Source organism: Homo sapiens, chromosome 7 (assembly GCF_000001405.40).
Source record: "Homo sapiens chromosome 7, GRCh38.p14 Primary Assembly".
Classification (NCBI taxonomy): domain Eukaryota; kingdom Metazoa; phylum Chordata; class Mammalia; order Primates; family Hominidae; genus Homo; species Homo sapiens.
Window position 1 is genome coordinate 56,792,988 of NC_000007.14, and position 20,186 is coordinate 56,813,173.

The window sequence follows — 20,186 nt, forward strand, 5'->3', positions numbered from 1 at the left end:
TTTTTTGTATTTTTTTTAGTAAAGACAGGGGTTTCACCATGTTGGCCAGGTTGGTCTCGAACTCCTGACCTCAGGTGATCCACCTGCCTCAGCCTCCCAAAGTGTTAGGATTACAGGTGTGAGCCACTGTGCCCGGTCTCCAGCTTGTTTTAAGAATCGAGTAACATCGCCATGTTTAATTGGCTTAGATATTCAGAAGCTGTTGATGTGAATGTTTAATGAACTTTATGAGTAAACAAATTAGATCAAAGTAAGTGGACTCCATGAAGCCGAGTATTATGCCTTCTGGATATGCCACCTGGTAACCCCTCCTTCAGCACACTGTGCCCCTTGACAGGCATCATGGGAGCAAGGACAGAGAAGGTGGGTGGGGAGCACAGGGACAGAGACACAGTGACATCCGCCCCTGTCTTGCCCCCATCCCATCCACCCTTTTTTTTTTTTTTTGAGATGGAGTTTCACTCCTGTTACCCACGCTGGAGTGCAATGGCGCAATCTCAGCTCACTGCAACCTCTGCCTCCCAGGTGCAAGCAATTCTCCTGTCTCAGCTTCCCAAGTAGCTGGGATTACAGGCATGCACCAGCACACCCGGCTAATTTTGTATTTTTAGTAGAGATGGGGTTTCACCATGTTGGCCAGGCTGGTTTTGAACCCCTGACCTCAGGTGATCCACCCACCTCAGCCTCCCAAAGTGCTAGGATTACAGGCGTGAGCCACCATGCCCAGCCCCCATCCACCCCTTTCTATAACAAAATCATTTAATAATGGTTTCCCATGTGTAAAAGATTTGCTTCATTCAATCACAGAATAGACACTTGAGATTCAAATTTACTGAGGAAGAAACTATTCACATGCCAAGTAGGAACTTAAAAAAAAAAACAACCCTTAATCACTGTATCATTGAAGGAAAACCAATTTAAGGGATGTAGTGTTTATCCAGGCAAGCCTGGTTGGCTTCTTGGTTTTCTGTCTTACTCATTTCTTTCGCCTTCTCAAAGAGTAGATTTTATTTTCAAACCTGGGAAAAGAGGTGTTCAAGGTGGGAGGGAGATGGAGGTAGGAAGATGGCTTTAGATCAGGAGTTCAATACCAGCCTGGTCAATATAGCGAGACCTTGTCTGTAGAAAAAAAAATTTTTTTTTACTTAGCTAGATGTGGTTGGTGGTGCATGCCTGTGGTCCCAGCTTCTCAGGAGGCTGAGGGAGGAGGATCACTTGAGCCCAGGAATTTGAAGCTGCAGTGAGCTGTAATCATGCCACTGCACTCCAGCCTGCATGACAAAGCAAGACCCTGTCTAAAAACAACAACAAAGGGCCAGGCTCAGTGGCTCACACCTGTAATCCCAGCACTTGGGGAGGCTGAGGCAGGAGGATCTCTTGAGGCCAGGAGTTCGAGACCAGCCTGGGCAACATAGTGAGACCCTGTCTCTCTCTGTCTCTCTCTTTTTTTTTTTTTAAAGAGATGTTTGGGATATTCCACTACGTAGACGTCCACTGCTGAACGGTCATAACCAAGACACATGGCCTGACAGCATGTGATGGTTATTTGTGTTTGTGCAAACTCCAGAGCAGCCCAAGCTCCTGGACAAAGAGACATTCCACTGTGTTTTTAACTGTCTTGATCAGACATATGAGGAGAGACAAGTCATTGTCTCCAGCATCAAAGGAATGAACCAAGATGTTGATTTTGAAGAGCCAACACTTTCCCAAGAAGCCTCCACAGTGTGACATCACAGGGCCTCTACCAGCACTGAGTGTCAGAATTGAGGCATGTGAAGCTGGGCCACATTCTAGCAGAGGCCCTGCTCAAAATGTGGCCTGGAGTAATCAAAAGATGTTGACGTGGCAGCTCCTCACCAGGTGTCCTGCTCCCTTTATTGTCCATCTATGTCCAGTCTCTTAACAAGCAGCTGGAATGTTCTTTTTAGTGTTTTTGTTTTGTTTTGCTTTGTTTTCTTTGAGTCTTGCTCTGTCACCCAGGATGGAGTGCAGTGGCGTGATCTCTGCTCACTGTAACCTCCACCTCCCGGGTTCAAGCAATTCTTGTGCCTCAGCCTCCTGATTAGCTGGGATTACAGGCACCTGCCACCATGCCCGGCTAATTTTTGTATTTTTTAGTAGAGACGGTGTTTCATCATGTTGGCCAACCTGGACTTGAACTCCTGACCTCAGGTGATCCACCCGCCTAGGCCTCCCAAAGTCCTGGAATTACAGGCATGAGCCACTGCGCCCGGTTTTTTTGTTTTGTTTTTAGCTATTAGGTCTAGCTCTGACTCTCAAGCTGGAGTGCAGTGGTTCAATCATGGCTCATTGCAGCCTCTATCTCCTAGGCTCAAGAGATTCTCTCCCCTCAGCCTCCCGAGGAGCTAGGACTACAGGCATGTGCCACCACATCTGATGAAGTTTACTCTTGCTACCCAGGCTGGAGTGTAATGGCCTGATCTCAGCTCACTACAAATCTGCCTCCCAGGTTCAAGCAATTCTCCTGTCTCAGCCTCCCAAGTAGCTGGGACTACAGGCATTCGCCACCACACTGGCTAATTTTTGTATTTTTAGTAGGGATGGGGTTTCACCATGTTGGCCAGACTGGTCTTGAACTCCTGACTTCAGGTGATCCACCTGCCTTAACCTCCCAAAGTGCTGAGATTACAGGCATGAGCCCTGCACCTGGCACACCTGGTTCATTTTTTTAAATGTTATTTTTGCAGAGACAGGGATCTCTGTATGTTGCCCAGGCTGGTCTCAAAATGTTACTCTCAAATGATCCTCTCCCTTCAGCCTCCCAAAGTGCTGGGATTAGAGGCATGAATCACTGTGCCCAGCCTCATTCTCTTTTAATTAGCTCAGTTTCAGTTTCTTATTATACAAATACCATCAAATAGAAAATGTCAATGTTAAGCAGGATTTCCATGTAAAGGTGGCAAATCACAAAATCTCCCTTCCTTGATACTTATTCATTCTTTTTTTGTTCTTTTTATTTATTTTTTGAGATGCAGTCTCACTCCGTCACCCAGGCTGGAGTGTGATGGCACAATCTTGGCTCACTACAACCTCCACCTCCCAGATTCAAGTGGTTCTCCTGCCTCAGGCTCCCGTGTAGCTGGGATTACAGGTGTGTACAAGCATGCCCAGGTAATTTGTGTATTTTTAGCAGAGACGAGGTTTTACCATGTTGGCCAGTCTGGTCTGGAACTCCTAACCTAAAGGTGATCCACCTGCCTCGGCCTCCCAATGTCCTGGGATTACAGGCATGAGCCACTGCACCCGGGCCCTTGATACTTATTCATTCTAATGACATTTAGTGTGCGCCTACTATGTGCCAAGTATATATTAGGTTCTGAGAATGACTAAGATGGGACTCCTGCTGCAGGGAGCCTTTGTTCTGATTTGGTGTGAGTTTGGGAGGAGGATATGTAGGCAAGCAATTCAATAAATAGCAAGCTGATTTTTGAGTGTGATATCTGCTTTGAGAGAACCAGGCAGAATGAGGCAATGAATCCTCCCTCTCCACAGGATGAGGGAGGATTTCTCTGCCAAGGTGATGTGTGAGCTGAGGTCTGGAAAATCTAGTAAGGAATGACTGGCCTCGAGCCAACCCTGGCTAAGCTACAGAGCTTCAATGATAAAGAAAGTACTCCACTGGCCTTTGGGCAGGAAAACATAAGTACATGTGAGAAGAACCTCCAGCCAGCCTCAGAGCTTCCCATAACCCCAGCTAGAGCTAGATGACAATAAAGTCAGAACTTAAAGGAAGAACAAAGAAAAGGAAAATGAATCAAGAATATTCTCCCAGGCCAGTTGTGGTGGCTCACGCCTGTAATCCCAGCACTTTGGGAGGCCAAGGAGGGTGGATCACTTGAGGTCAGGAGTTCGAGACCAGCCTGGCCAAAATGGTGAAATTCTGTCTCTACTAAAAATACAAAAATCAGCTGGGCATAGTAGCGTGCATCTATAATCCCAGCTATTCAGGAGGCTGAGGCAGGAGAATCACTTGAACCCGGGAGGCAGAAGTTGCAGTGAGCACCACTGCACTCCAGCCTGGGTGACAGAGCAAGACTCTGTCTCAACTAATAATAATAATAATAATAGAATAGTTATTCAAGTATAAACGCATTAAACAGAAACTCTCAAACATGCATCAATTCCAAAAATACAGCAGCTGTGGGTGAAAATAGAAACTGCAGGTTAAAAAGAATCATGATACTTTTGTATCTTTTTTCATAATTTTAATGAATGTTGAATAAAAAGATATGACCTTCACGTAGACTTTTATCTGAAGTTCAGAAATTCTCCCACCTTAGTTTCTTCAGCTTCTGTTGTATCAAGCAAAATAAATATTATATATATTTGAACTAAAACACATATAAAATATGTAAAGTTTCTTTTTTTTTTTGAGACAGTGTCTCTCTGTTGCCAGGCTGGAGTGCAGTGGTGCAATTTTGGCTCACTGCAACCTACGCCTCCCAGGTTCAAGTGATTCTCCTGCCTCACCCTTCCAAGTAGCCGGGATTACAGGCACCCGCCACCATGCCCAGCTAATTTTTCTATTTTTAGTAGAAACAGGGTTTCAACATGTTGGCCAGGATTGTCTCGATCTCCTGACCTCGTGATCTGCCCAATTCAGCGTCCGAAAGTGCTGGGATTACAGGTGTGAGCCACTGCACCAGGCAAAGTTATTTTTAATCCATTAATACATCTACTTACTTAACTACCTATTTGCACAAAAAGAGGTGTGAATTATCACTTTTTTTTTTTTTTCGACACAGAGTCTCTCTCTCTCTGTTGCCCAGGCTGGAGTGGAATGGTGTAATCTTGGCTCACTGCAACCTCTGCCTCCGAGACTTAAGCGATTCTCGTGCCTCAGCCAGGCATGAGCTACCAGGCCTGGTCATATCACATAATGTTAAGTTATTTTTTGGTGGTTGAAAATTTCATGATTTATTACTTGCTTCTTTGTACTTTTCTTGTTTTGCTTTCTCTTCTCTCTCTCGCTCTCCCTCTCTGACAGGGTCTCACTCTGTTACCCAGGTTGCGATCTCAAACCCCTGGATTCTAGTGACCCACCTGCCTCAGCCTCCCAAGTAGCTGGGACTACAGGTGTACATTACTATAACTGGTTTTTAATTTTTTATAGAGATGGGATCTTGCTATGTTCCTCATGCTGGTCTCATACTCCTGGCCTTGAGCAATCCTTCTACCCTGCCTTCCCAAAGTGCTGGGATTACAGGTGTGAGCTATAGCACACGGCCTGCTTTGTACTTTTCTACAGGACTTAGATTTTATATAATAATTAAAAATATTTTTTACAAAAGCAGTAGTCACTCTAAACTTTTTAAAATTAAGCAATGATTAAGAATGAGGTACAGAAAGTAGTATTAATTCAGCACCTATTATATACTAGATATTTTGCATATAGCGGATCACATAGTCCACATATCAAGGCAGGAATTATAATCTTTATTTATTTTTTTATTCTGTTTTATTTTTGAGATGGAGTCTCGCTCTGTCACCCAGGCTGGAGTGCAGTGGCGTGATCTCGGCTCACTGCAACCTTCACCTCCCGGGTTCAGGCTATTCTCCTGTCTGAGCCTCCTGAGTAGCTGGGACTACAGGTGCCCGACACCAAGCCCGGCTAATTTTTTTTTTTTTTTTTTTTTTTGAGGCAGAGTCTCGCTCCATCGCCCAGGCTGGAGTGCAGTGGTGCAATCTTGGCTCACTGCAAGCTCTGCCTCCCAGGTTCACGCCACTCTCCTGCCTCAGCCTCCCGAGTAGCTGGGACTAAAGGCACCCGCCACCACGCCTGGCTAATTTTTTGTATGTTTAGTAGAAACGGGGTTTCACCGTGTTAGCCAGGATAGTCTCGATCTCCTGACCTCGTGATCCGCCCGCCTCTGCCTCCCAAAGTGCCGGGATTACAGGCGTGAGCCACCGCGCCCGGCCAATTTTTGTATTTTTAATAGAGACTGGGTTTCACCATGTTAGCCAGGATAGTCTCGATCTCCTGAACTCATGATCCACCTGCCTCGGCCTCCCAAAGTGCTAGGATTACAGGCATGCGCCACCGCGCCTGGCCCTTATAATCTTTATTTTCCAGGAGACAAAAATATGGATTACAAGCATTTCCTGGTTCTAGAGATACACAGCTGCTGCCAAAACAATTTCCCCCTTTCCAGCAGCCTGCCCCCTGCTGGTTTTATCAAATTCAATCCCCCCACTTCCACCCCCACATCTGTGCGCAAGAGTGTTCACACACACACACATTTCTGCTATATTCCATCTGCCTAGGCCAGGAGCTTGTCATGACAAACCAAATGCAATACCTATTTCCTGACCAAAGCTGTTATTCAGTATCTCTATGATTTGAGAAATAGTTTGATTTCACCCTGACAAGGATCACACTGAGTTTTTAATAGAAGTAATAATTACAAACCATCCTAGTCTGTGTGAAAGCATGTGATGTTCAGATATATCCAGCCCTTTGAGATGCTCTGCTGGAAGGTGGTTGAGGTACAAAGTACTATTGACTCATGGTCATCTTGGTCCATGGTCATTAATAATGATAGTTTGTACTTCTTTCGTGTTTGTGCTAAGGGTGGTTTCAAAACCTGGAAGAAGCTTATCAATTTCTAGGTATTCAAATATATCTTTCACAATGTATGTGTGTGTGTATGTGTGTGTGTGTATGCTGTGAAGATACATACACACATATATTCACATATGAATATATACACACATTTATGTATTTACATTATACTAATAAAAAAATAAATTCTTTTTTTTTCTTTTGAGATAGAGTCTCACTCTGTCACCCAGGCTGGAGTACAGTGGCATGATCTCAGCTCACTGCCACCTCTGCCTCCCATGTTCAAGCAATTCTCCTGCCTCACCCTCTGGAGTAGCTAGGACTACAGGCACATGCCAGCACACTAGGCTAATTTTCGTATTTTTGGTAGAGACGGGGTTTCACCATCTTGGCCAGGCTGGTCTTGAACTCCTGACCTCGTAATCCACCCACCTCATCCTCCTAAAGTGCTGGGATTACAGGCATGAGTCACCGTGCTGGCATAAAGTAAATTCTTAATGATACATGAAAAGAAAATGGCAGGCCAGGTGTGGTGGCTCCCACCTGTAATCCCAGCACTGCAAGAGGCTGAGGGGGAAGGATCACTTGAGACTTGGAGTTTGAAACCAGCCTTGGAAACATGGTGAGACCCCCTCTCTACAAGAAATATAAAAATTACCTGGGCATGGCGGCTTGTACCTGGGGTCAAAGTTACTCAGGAGGCTGAGATGGGAGGATCACTTAAGCCAAGAAAGAAGATGTTGCAGTGAGCCAGGGTCATACCACTGCACTCCATCCTTAATGACAAAGTCATACCTTGCCTCAAAAAAAGGGAAAAAATTGGTATCCATGAAAAATGTAAAATATCTATATATACATAAATCTATATAGAAATAGTATATTAATGAAAAAGTAAATTCTTAATAGTTCATGACAAGCAAATAGCAGGCCAGGCATGGTGGCTCATGCTTGTGATCACAGCACTTTGGGAGGCTCAGGCAAAATGATTGCTTGTGTCCGAAAGTCTGGGAACAGCCTGGGCAACAAAGTGAGAACCAACTTCTCAGAAAAAATTAGAAATTAGCCAGGCATTGTGGCATGTGCCTGTAGCATCAGCTACTCAAGAGGCTGAGTTGGGAGAATCACTTCAGGCCAAATGGCCAAGGCTGCAGTGAGCCATGATCACACGACTACACTCCAGCCTGGGTGACAGAGCAAGACCCTAACAAAACAAAAAAAGATAACTGTAAAAAAATATAAATATAGAAAACATGAAGTGAGAAGCTACCATGTCCAGAGCAAAGAAAAAGGGCCCAAGCAGAGGCTCATTCTGACTCCCACCCAAAGAAGACAAGAAAAACTATGAGACACTAAATAAAACAAACATCACTATGAAACCACACAGGCAGAATTTATTATAAATTTGTCAGAAATCCACTGTCAAGGTTAAAAGAAGAGACAGGTGTTTTGCTAAGGCACTCTGCTGTGCAGTGAAGTTACCAACAAATAAGAGTCCAGGGAAGCTTTAGGCTCCTTGATGCTGTTGACCATTAAAGACTAAAAAGTGGGATCTGGAAAAGGTGACTGCGAAGCAAAAGCAAAGCCAGAAGAGGCCATGATGAGGCAGATGATGGGTTCCAGTGGCCACTATGAGGCCAAAGATGGGCCAGAAGAGGCCATCATGGGTTCGACTGGCCACTATGAGGCCGAAGATGGGCCAGAAGAGGCCATCATGAGAAAGGAGCTGGTATAACTGAGACAACTGTGAGACAGGAGCTGGGACTTGGGAGGCAGATGTGAGGAAAGAGATAAGCCAGGTGAGGACAGTGAGAGGCAGCAGCTGGGCTTAGAGAGGCCAGTGTGAGGCAAGAGCTGGGTCTGTTGAGGCAGCCTGGAGAAGCAATTGTCAGGCAAAAGCTGGGCCTGTTCAGGGAGCCACCAGGAAGGCAGTGAAACCGGAGGACTCAACTTGAGAAAGATTTGAGTCTACAAAGGCAAGGAGCTGCACAGGAGCTAATCCAAAGAGGATGTTGTGAGGCAAAAGCTGAACCTTTAGACACAAAATGTAGGAAGAAAAGGGGAAGAAGTGGATGCCTGGAGACAGCAACTGGACCTGGAGAGGCAGACTTGAGAAAGTTCTGGGCCTACAGAAGCTGCAAAAATGAAAAAACTCGACCTCGAGTGGCTGTTGAGAGGAATGAGGTAAGCCTAAAGAGGCCATTTGAAGGCAGGAGCTGGTCCTGTCGAACTTGCTGAAATGCAAGAATTTGGACTGGGAAGGTCACAGTGAGGCAAGAGCTCAGTGTGGAGAGTCAGCTGTGAGGCAGAGGCAGGGTCTGTACGGGCCTTCAGGATGCAAGAGGCTGGGCCAGGAGAGGCCGACAGGAAGTCCAGTTCTGGGCGTGAAGAGGCAGACAAAAGTCAAAAGCTGGGCCTGGGAAGGCTGCCGAGAGGCATGAGCTGGGCTAGGCCTAAAGAGGCCATTGGGAGGCAGGAGAAGCTGAGCTTGGAGAGGCCGACTTGATGAAGTTGTGCACCTGGAGCGGCCGCCAAGAGGCAAGAGCTGGGCCCGGGGTGGGCGACTTGAGGATGACTTGTGCCTGCAGGGGCTGCTGGAAGGAAAAGCTGGGCCTGGAGATGCCGACTAGAGGAAGTTCAGGACCTGGAGAGGATGCAAAGGAGCAAACGCTAGGCCTGGAAAGGCTGCTGTGAGGCATGAGCTTGGTGTATGGAGGCCACTGGGAGGCAGGAGCTGGGTCTGCAGAGGCTGCCGAAAGGCAGGAGGCTTGCCCTGAGTAGGCCACGGTGAGGAAGGAGGTGGGCCAGGAGGGCCCACTGCGAGGTAGAGGCTGGGCCTCTAGACGCCACCAACAGGCAGGGGCTGGCCCTGGAGAGGCCAGGAGAGGCATGAGCTGGGCCTCGACAGGCCAGCATAAGGGAGGACCTCGGCCTACAGAGGCCAGCGTGAGGCAGGAGCTCACACCTCTGGGAAGGTGGCCAGAGGCATAAGTTGGGCCTGAACAGGCCACTCTGAGGGAGGAGCTGGGCCTGTCGAGGCTGCCGGGAGGCAGGCAGGAACTAGGTCCTGGGAAGCCACAGTGAGGTGAGAGCTGGAGCTGGAGAGGCCCCTCAGAGGCAAGAGCAGGGCCTGCAGAGGCTGTTCTCAAGCCACAGCTGGGTCTGTACAGGCCACTGCGAGGCAGAAGGTGGGCCTAAATAGCTTGGCGGGAGAAAGTTTTGGGCCTACAAAGGCTTAGGACAGCTGGACAGGAGCTGAGTCAAAAGAGGTGTGTTGTGAGGCAGGAGTTGGGCCTGTAGATGGACCTGAGAGGAAGAGCTGGGCCTGGAGAGGCAGCCATGAGGGAGGCAGAGGCTGGGCCTGTAGAGACCAATAGGAGGCAGGAGATGGCCCTGAAGGGGCCACTTGGAGGATGTGCTGCACCTGGAGAGGCCGTGGGGAGGCCGGAGCTGGAAATGGAGAGGACTTCAGGACGATTTGAGCCTGCAGAGGCTGCCGGGAGTCCCAAGCTGGGCCTCGAGAAGCTAACTGGAGAAAGTCTGGGGCCTGGAGATGCCACCAGAGGGCAGGAGCCGAGCCTGGAGAGGCCACAGTGAGGCCCGAGCTGGGCCTCGAGAGCTTTGCTTGAAGTTTTTGGCCTACAAAGGCCGCCAGGAGCTGGGCAGGAGCTGGGCCTGGAGGTGCCCACCATGAGGTAGAGGCCGGGCCTGTAGAGGCCACCGACAGGCAGGAGCTGGGCCTGCAGAGGCCACGAGAGGCATGATCTGGGCCTCAACAGGCCAGCGTAAGGGAGGACCTCAGCCTAGAGAGGCCAGTGTGAGGCATGAGCTGACACCAGGGCGGGATGCAAGAAGCATGAGTTGGACCTAAAGAGGCCACCATGAGGGAGGAGCTCAGCCTGTCAGGGCTGCTGGGAGGCAGGCAGGAACTGGGCCCTGGGAAGGCGCCGTGAGGCAAGAGCTGGGCCTGGACAGTCCCCTGGGAGGCAGGAGTGGGGCCTGCAGCGGCTCTTCTCAAGCCAGAGCTGGGTCTGTGCAGGCCACCGCGAGGCAGGAGGTGGGCCTAAAGAGCTTGACTGGAGAAAGTTTTGGCCCTACAAAGGCTGGAAGGAGCTGAGCCAAAAGAGGTCGTTGGTTGTGAGGCAGGATTTGGGCCTGGAGACATAGCCAGGAGGAAGAGTTGGGCCTGGAGAGGCAGCCAGGAGGGAGGCAGAGGCTCCTCTGCCACAGTCAGAGGAGTGGGGCCCCATCCTCTCCAGGCCCTGAATTTACTCCATTCAGCCTCTCCGGGCCCAGCTGTTCCTCCCAGCTGCGTCTCCAGACCCGACTGCTGCCTCCCAACAACCTCTTTGGATTCAGTTCCTGCCCAGCTCCTGGAGGCCTTGGTAGGCCCACAGCTTCCTCAAGCCAAGCTCCCCAGGCCCAGCTCAGGCCTCACGGTAGCCTCTCCAGGCTCAGCTCCTGCCCTCCGATGGCATCTCCAGGCCCCAAATGGCCTCCGGTCGGTGGGCTCCTCCAGGCCCAGCTTGGGCCTCCCAGCGGCCTCTGCAGACCCAAGTCGTCCTGAAGTCGGCCTCTCCAGGCCCAGCTCCGGCCTCCCGGTGGCCTCTCCAGGTGCAACGCGTCCTCAATGAGGGCCCCTCCAGGGCCAGCTCCTGCCTCCCATCGGCCTCTAGAGGCCCAGCCTCTGCCTCCCGCCTGGCGGCCTCTCCAGGCCCAGCTGTTCCTCCTGGCTGCGTCTCCCGGCCCAGCTCCTGCCTCCCAGCAAGCAATCTGTTTTGGCTCAGCTCCTGCCCAGCTCCCGCTGGCCTTTGGAGGCCCCAAACTTTCTCCAGCCAAGCTCTTCAGGCCTACCTCCTGCCTCCCGGTGGCCTGTACGGGCCCAGCTCTGGCAGGAGAACAGCCTCTGCAGGCCCCGCTCTTGCCTCCCAGGGGCCTCTCCAGGCCCAGCTCTCGCCCCACGGTGGCCTCCTGGGGCCAAGTCCCTGCCTGCCTCCCGGCAGCCCGCGAGCGGCCCAGCTCCTCCCTCACGGTGGCCTGTTTAGGCCCAACTCGTGTCTCTGGCACCCTGTCCAGAGGCGTGAGCCCCTGCCTCACACTGGCCTCTCTCATGCTGAGAGAGGTCCTCCCTCACGCTGGTCTGTTGAGGCCCAGCTCATGCCTCTGTTGGCCTCTCCAGGTCCAGCCCCTGCCTGTTGGCGGCCTCTAGACGCCCAGCCTCTACCTCAACAGTGGGCCCTCCAGGCCCACCTCTTGCCTCGCCATGGCGTCCTCGGGCCAGGCTCCCCACCTCGGGGCTGCCTCCACACACCCAGCTGGTGCCTCGCGGAGGCCCTCCGGAGGCCAAGCTCATGCGTCACGGCGGCCACCAGGACCACTAGGTCTACCTTAAAAAAATGCTTAAGGGAGTTTTTCAAGTAAAAATGAATGAAGTTGGGAGCGGTGGCTCATGCCTGTAATCCCATTTTGGGAGGCTGAGGTGGGTGGATCACCTGAGGTCAGGAGGTCAAGACCAGCCTGGCCAACATGGTGAAACCCCACCTCTAATAAAAATACAAAAAATTAGCCAGGTATGAAGGCCACTGAGATTGTGCCATTGCACTCCAACCTGGGTGACAAGAGTCAAACTACATTTCAAAAACAAAAAACAAAACTTGAGGCCTGGCCTTCTGCTCCTCTCCAAACCCCCTTCTCTGGGCCCAAGACACCTTGGCTGAGGAGGGGGCTGAGGACGTGTGAGCCCCTGCCAGGAACCCCCTGCCCGGACCAAGTACTCGGCCCACAGGACTGTGTCCAGCGAGGCCTCCCGTGGCGTCAGCGTGTTCGTGTGGAGGAATGTGGAACCTCACTCTGTGGCCGTGTTCCCCTGGTACTCCGTCCCCTTCCTGACCCCTCCCTGGAGCCACACGAGGCCCAGCAACCTGCCAGTCACTCAGTGGCCTCCAACCAGAGCAAACAACCTGCCAAGTTGGCAGCTGTTGCTCATGAGCATCCACCAGGTGGGACAGGGAGTGTTGACCCTGGGTGGCCCCCTGGAGCCACCTGCCCTGAAAGCCCAGGGCCCAGAACCCCACACACTTTGGGGGTGGTGGAACCTGGTAAGGGCCCACCTCCCACCATGGAGGAGGAGCCCTGGGCCCCTCAGGGGAGTCCCTGCTGGACAGTGAGACAGAGAATGACCACGATGATGCTTTCCTCTCCGTCATGTCTCCTGACACCCAGTTGCCTCTACCACTCAGATGATGTCAGGCCCAGTCCCTCAGTGCCCTGCACAAGGAACAGGACTCATCTTCTGAGAAGGATGGATGCAGCCCCAACAAATGGGACAAGGACCACATCCGGTGGCCCATGAGTGGCGGTCATGATCTTCAGCAAGCGGCACCAGGCCCTGGCAGGGCGCACCAGGGTCACCCCAACCAGGACAACCGGACCGTCAGCCAGATCCTGAGCGAGCGGTGGTACACCCTGGGGCCCAATGAGACGCAGAAGTACCATGACCTGGCCTTCCAGGTGAAGGTGGCCCACTTGCAACAGGGACCAAAAGAAGTCCAGCTCAGAGGCTAAGCCCACAAACCAGGGGCTAGCAGGAGTATACAAGGGCTCGTGGGAGCAGAGTATATCAGAGATGAGCACTGCCACTGCCCCTGGGGTGTCCTCTGAACTCCTGTCAGTTGCAGCCCAGACACTCCAGAGCTCGGATACCAAGGAGCAGCTTCTGTGGGGCAGAACGGCTGCATACAGGGAACCTGGCTCAGCCTGGCCCAAGCCTTCTCCCACAGGGGTGTACACAGCCTTGACGGCAGGGAAATAGACCGTCAGGCACTACAGGAACTGACAGAAGTGGTGTCTGGCACTGCATCATACTCTGGCCCAAAGCCTTCTACTCAGTATGGAGCTCCAGGCCACTTTGCAGCCCCTGGTGAGGGAGGTGACCAGTGGGCAGCCCTGCTGCTGCCCACCTGAGCTTCTCATTCCCAGCACATGGCCAGTGATGACATAGTGAGTGATGAGGAGCACATGGTCATCCATGAGGAGGAGGGGGTGACAATGTCATTGCTGATGATGGCTTTAGCACCACTGACACTGATCTCAAGTTCAAGGAGTGGGTGACCGACTGAGAGTGGTGACAGCTCTGGGGAGGAGACAGAGGGCAACAAGGGCTTTGGTGGGAAGGTATTTGCACCTGTCATTCCTTCCTCCTTTACTCCTGCCGCCCCTTGCTGGATCCTGAGCCCCCAGGGTCCCCCGATCCATCTGCAGTTTTTGGCAAAGTCCATGGTCCCACCCCCTCCTCCTCCTACACATACTCGGATGCTTCCTCCTCAACCTTGGCACCCACCTCCTTCTTACTGGGCCCAGGAGCCTTCAAAGCCTAGGAGTCTGGTCAGGGCAGCAGAGCCGGCCCCCTACGGCCCCTACCCCTGGGGATGGGGGCCCAGGGACGCCTTCCAAGGCGACCTGTTTCCTCCCAATGGATCCTTCCACCTTCTGGTGCAAGAGACCTGAAAGTGTGGGCGACCTGGAGCTACCAGGCCCCTCAGTCATCGCAGTCCCTCCCAACACTAAGGCTTTCCTAGGCAGGAGCTGGGCTGAGCCACCCAGGGGGCAGAGCCTGAAGAGGAGAAACTGGGCTTTGGGGGTTGGGGCAGAGGGAACCCCACGGACATGGATCCCGCACTGGACGACCCCACCACACCCAAATGCAAGATGAGAAGATGCTCCATCTGCAGCCCAAAGCCCAACACCCCCAAGTGTGCCATGTGTGATGGGGACAGCTTCCCCTTTGCCTGCACAGGTGGAGAAGCCAAGGACGGGCTCAGGGAACCGGAGACCGAGAAGGCGCTGTCCTCTTCACTGCACGTGCCCTGGACCAGTGCCGGCCCTGATCGTGCAGCTTTTCCAGGCCCACTGCTTCTTCCTGTCCACTAGGCCACAGCCGCTCTCCAGGCCCACTATGCACACATCTTCCCCTCCAAGGTTTGTTCTGCCCCTGCCCTGACTCCCAGCCCTGAGGGGGTCCTGTCCCCACCTCACCTGGCTCAGACTCTGACGCTGCCCTGGCTGCCCCACCACTGCCTCTGCCCAAGAGTCACGTGAGGCTGAGAGTAGGGGCAGGGGCAGCAATGGTGCCAGTTGGGGGGCGGTCCAGTGGGAGGAGCCTCAGCCTCGCGGGCTGCTCCGTGGGACTGATGACTGCATAATCTTCTGGGCACCTCACGGATCTTCAACTGCAGGTGAAACGGATGCTGGTGGTGGGTGCAGGGCCGCTGGGAGCCGCTGCATGGGTCCCAGAGGCTGGACTGGGGCAGGTGCCAACTGAAGCTGCTGGGGCAGCATGGGCAGGATGCTCTGCACACAAACCTTGGAGAAGAAGATGTGTGCATAGTGGGTCCACTGCTGCTGCCCCTGCCCTGACTCCCAGCCCTGTCTGACCCCACCTCACCCTGCTCAGGCTCTGGCGCAACCCTGGCTGCCCTGCCACTGCCTCTGCCCCAGAGCTGGGGCCTCGACAGCCTGGCTGGAAGGGGACACCCCAGCCCTGCCTCAACACCTGGGTCCCTCCATAACTACCACAGGCAGGTGGGCGACCCCAAAGAAGATCCCAGGACTCACAATACCCCCTGAGAACACGGACACTATGTGGGGGTAGCAATGGAGGGCAGGATGGTTATCTTCTCCAGGGTAAAGCCATTTAATCCTTTCAGTTTGGGAAGGAATAAGGCCTGCTTTTTTTTTTTTTTTTTCCTTTTGAGACGGAGTCTTGCTCTGTCACCCAGGCTGGAGTGCAGTGGTGAGATCTTGGCTCACTGCAACCTCTTACTGCCGGGTTCACGCCATTCTCCTGCCTCAGCCTTCTGGGTAGCTGGGATTACAGGTGCATGCTACCACGTCCGGCTAATTTTTGTATTTTTAGTACAGACGGGGCTTCACCATCTTGGCCAGGCTGATTTCGATCTCCTGAAATCGTGATCCACCGGCCTCCACCTCCCAAAGTGCTGCGATTACAGGTGTGAGCCACCACGCCTGGCCAAGGCCTGCTCCTCTTATATATACCCCCTAGCCCTGCAGCTGTGCCGGGGGAAAGCTGGGCAGTTTCCCTCCTCTGAGCCCCTGTACATACCATGAAGTGTGGGACCTTCAGAGCTTTTCACTTTTCGGAAAATAGCTCCTGCTGGGGCTACAAGATGGAGTGTGAAGAGGGCCTTGGGCCACAGGGAGGTGCCTGTGGAATAGGGGGAGTTCATGCACCCCTTCTTTCTCCAGAGGGGCTGGACTCAGGTGAGTATGGGGGTGGGGGCTCCTGCACTTTGACACAGGCAGCGGGAGGGTTTTCTCCCAATTCCCTCTGCACTCCCAACTTGAGTTGTACTTTTTAAGAAAGTGATTCACCCTGCCTTTGCCCCCTTCCCCAGAACAGAACACATTGATCATGGGCGATATTTTCTATTGTGCCAAAAAGTTGCCATGACTGTCATTAAACCTGTTTAACACCAAATAATAAGGAAAATAAAATAAAAAATTCGGGCTTGGTGCAGAAACTCACTCCAAATAAATTACCTACCAAAATATTTATATAATGGTGGAAATGTTCCAAAATTCCATATTTTGGGATTTATACACAAAAGATAAAAAAAATTAGAGGCCAAGAGGCTGCCGGAAGGGAAAAACGGGGCCTGGAAAGGCCAATGTGAGGAATGAGCTGGGCCTAAAGAGGCCACTGGCAGGCGGGAGCTGGGCCTGCCGAAGCGGCCGAAAGGCAGGAGCTTTGGACTGGGGAGGCCACAGTGAGGCGAGAGCTAGCTGGGCGTGGAGAGTCTGCTGTGATTCCGAGGCCGGGCCCGTGCAGGCCTTCGGGAGGCAGGATGCCGGGCCTGCAAAAGCTGACTGGAGATCAAGTTCTGGGCCTGAAGAGGCCGCCAAAAGTCAAAAGCAGGGCCTGGGAAGGCTGCCTACAGCCACGAGCTGGGCTGGGCTGAAAGAGGCCACTGGGAGGCAGGAGGAGCTGGACCTGGAGAGGCTGACTCGAGGAAGTTTTGCACCTGGAGAGGCCGCCGAGAGGACGGAGCTGGGCCCGGGGAGGCCAAAATGCAGCTCTTCCAGGCCCACTTCCAGGCCGACTTGAGGACGACTTGGGCCTGCAGAGTCTGCCAGGAGGCTGGAGCTGGCCCTGGAGAGCCTGACTCAAGGGCAGTCTGGGCCTGCAGAGGCCGCCAGACTGGCCTCTAGAGGCTGATGAGAGGCAGGAGCTGACCCCGGAGGGGCCCTCGTTGACGACGCGTTGCGCCTGGAGAGGCTGCCGGGAGGCCGGAGCTGGGCCTGGAGAGGGCGACTTCAGGACGATTTGGGCCAGCAGAGGCTGCCGGGAGGCCCAAGCTGGGCATAGAGGAATCCACCGACTGGAGGCCGTTCGGGGCCTGGAGACGCTGTCAGAGGGCAGGAGCTGAGCCTGGAGAGGCCACCGTGAGGCCTGAGCTGGGGCTGGGGAGCTTGGCTTCAGGAAGTTGTGGGCCAACCAGGGCCACCGGGAGCTGGGCGGGAGCTGAGTCCAAAGAGGTTGTTGGGAGGCCGGAGTCGGGCCTGGAGACGCAGCCGGGAGGAAGAGCTGAGCCCAGAGAGGATGCCGGGAGTCTGCAAGTGGGTCTGGAGAGGCCGACTTCAGGAGGCCCAGCCTCTGCCTCCCGCATGGCAGCCTCTGCAAGCCCAGCTGTTCCTCCTGGCTGCATCTCCTCAAGTGGGCCCAGAGGTTCTGGGTCCTGAGAGGCAGTCGGAAGGGAAAAAATGGGCCTGGAAAGGCCGTTGTGAGGAATGAACCCCATGGGCCAGAAGAGGCCACTGGCAGGTGGGAGCTGGGCCTGCCGAAGCGGCCAAGAGGCAGGAGCTTTGGACTCGGGAGGCTGCAGTGAGGCGAGAGCTAGCTGGGCGTGGAGAGTCCGCTGTGAGGCAGAGACTGGGCCTGTGCAGGCCTTCGGAAGGCAGGAGGCCGGGCCAGGAGAGGCCGACTGGAGGTCAAGTTCGGAATCTGCAGAGGCCGCGGAAAGTCAAAAGTGGGGCCTGGGAAGGCCACCAGGAGGCATGAACTGGGCTGGGCCAAAAGAGGCCACTGGGAGACAGGAGGACCTGGGCCTGGAGATACTGATTCAAACTTTTGCACCTGGAGAGGCCGCCGAGAGGCCGGAGCTGGGCCTGGGGAGGATGATTTGGGCCTGCAGAGGCCACCGAGAGGCAGGAGCTGTCCCTGGACAGGCCTACTTGATGACAGTCTGGGCCTACAGAGGCCGCCGGGAAGCAGGAGCTGTCCCTGGACAGGCCTACTTGACGACAGTCTGGTCCTGCAGAGGCTGCCGGGAGGAAGAGCTGGGCCTGGAGAGGCCGACTGGAGGAAGTGCAGGACCTGGAGCCCATGCAAAGGAGCAAACGCCAGGCCGGGAGAGGCCGCCACGACGCATGAGCTTGGCCTCCAGAGGGCCTCCGTGAGGCAGGAGCTGGGCCTGCGGAGGCCGTCCCGAGGTGGGAGCCTGGCCCGAGGAGGCCACGGCGAGGCAAGAGGTGGGCCTGGAGGGCACACTGTTGAGGTAGAGGCTGGGCCTCTAGTGGCTGTCAACAGGCAGGAGGCCAGGCCTGGAGAGGCCGACTGGTGGTCAAGTTCGGGGCCTGCAGAGGCCGCGGAAAGTCAAAAGCAGGGCCTGGGAAGGCCACCGGGAGGCATGAGCTGGGCTGGGCTGAAAGAGGCCACTGGGAGACAGGAGGAGCTGAGCCTGGAGAGACGGACTCGAGGAACTTTTGCACCTGGAGAGGCCGCCGAGAGGCCAGAGCTGGGCCTGGGGAGGCAGACTTGAGGACGACTTGGGCCAACAGAGGCCACCGGGAGGCAGGAGCTGTCCTTGGACAGGCCTACTTGATGACAGTCTGGGCCTACAGAGGCCGCCGGGAGGAAGGAGCTGTCCCTGGACAGGCCTACTTGACGACAGTCTGGTCCTGCAGAGGCTGCCGGGAGGAAGAGCTGGGCCTGGAGAGGCCGACTGGAGGAAGTCCAGGGCCTGGAGCCCATGCAAAGGAGCAAACGCCAGGCTGGGAGAGGCTGCCCTGACGCATGAGCTTGGCCTCCGGAGGGCCGTGAGGCAGGAGCTGGGCCTGCGGGGGCTGCCCCAAGGCGGGAGCCTGGCCCGAAGAGGCCACGGCCAGGCAAGAGGTGGGCGTGGAGGGCCCACTGTTGAGGTAGAGGCTGGACATCTAGAGGCCGCCAACAGGCAGGGGCTGGGCCTGGAAAGGCCAACAGAGGCATGAGCTGGGTCTCAACAGGCCAGCGTGAGGGAGGATTGCTCTCAGCGTGAGAGAGACCAGTGTGAGGCAGGGGCTCATGCTGACCTCCCTCAGCGTGAGAGAGGCCAGTGTGAGACAGGGGCCCACGCTGAACTCCCTCAGCGTGAGAGAGGCCAATGTGAGGCAGGGGCTCACGCCTCTCGAAAGGGTGCCAGAGGCATGAGTTGGGCCTGAACAGGCCACCGTGACGGAGGAGCTGGGCCGCACACAGGCTGCTGGGAGGCAGGCAGGGACTTGGTCCCGGGAGGCCGCCGTGAGGCCAGAGCTGGGCCTGGAGATGCCCCTAGGAGGCAAGAGTGGGGCCTGCAGAGGCTGTTCTCCAGCCAGACCTGGGCCTGTACAGGCCACCGGGAGGCAGGTGGGACTGAGGAGCATCGCTGGAGAAAGTTCAGGGTCTACAAAAGCCGGCGGGAGCTGGGCAGGAGCTGAGCCAAAAGAGCTTGCTTGCTGGGAGGCCGGAGCTGGGCCTGGAGAGGCTGACTTCAGGACCACTTGAGCCTGCAGAGGCCGCCGGGAGGCCCAAGCTGGGCCTGGAGAAGCCCACCGACCCGAGGCCATTTGGGGCCTGGAGACGCCGTCGGAGGGCAGGAGCTGAGCCAGGAGAGGCCACCATGAGGCCCGAGCTGGGCCTGGGGAGCTTGGCTTCAGGAAGCTGTGGGCCGACCAAGGCCACCAGGAGCTGGGCAGGCACTGAGTCCAAAGAGGTTGTTGGGAGGCAGGAGTCGGGCCTGCAGACGCAGCCGGGAGGAAGAGCTGGGCCCGGAGAGGATACCGGGAGGCTGCAAGTGGGTCTGGAGAGGCCGACTTGAGGAGCTTCTGGGCCCGGAGAGGCCGCCGGAAGGGAAAAACTGGGCCTGGAAAGGCCGTTGTGAGGAATGAGCCCCATGGGCCTGAAAAGGCCACTGGCAGGCGGGAGCTGGGCCTGCCGAAGCGGCGGAGAGGCCGGAGCTTTGGACTCGGGAGGCCGCAGGCGAGAGCGAGCTGGGCGTGGAGAGTCCGCTGTGAGGCAGAGGCTGGGCCTGTGCAAGCTGTCGGGAGGCAGGAGGCCAGGCCTGCAGAGGCCGACTGGAGGTCAAGTTCGGGGCCTGCAGAGGCCGCGGAAAGTCAAAAGCGGGGCCTGGGAAGGCCGCCGGGAGGCATGAGCTGGGCTGGGCTGAAAGAGGCCACTGGGAGACAGGAGGAGCTGGACCTGGAGAGACGGACTCGAGGAACATTTGCACCTGGAGAGGCCGCCGAGAGGCCGGAGCTGGGCCTGGGGAGGCTGACTTGAGGACGACTTGGGCCT

General features: G+C 54.8%; 1 long non-coding RNA gene and 3 pseudogenes across 1 annotated transcript; 2 read left to right on the forward strand and 2 right to left on the reverse strand.

Moving 5' to 3' along the window:
• Positions 1-9,324: 9,324 nt before the first annotated feature.
• Positions 9,325-11,845, reverse strand: LOC112267979 (putative uncharacterized protein FLJ46235; annotated as a pseudogene).
• On the forward strand, positions 10,552-11,661 carry LOC100533652 (uncharacterized; annotated as a pseudogene).
• On the forward strand, positions 12,352-14,666 carry CICP28 (capicua transcriptional repressor pseudogene 28; annotated as a pseudogene).
• LOC401357 (uncharacterized) lies at positions 16,137-19,749 on the reverse strand. The gene has a single exon (NR_130727.1). It is a non-coding gene; the product is annotated as an uncharacterized LOC401357 (long non-coding RNA).
• Positions 19,750-20,186: the final 437 nt, after the last annotated feature.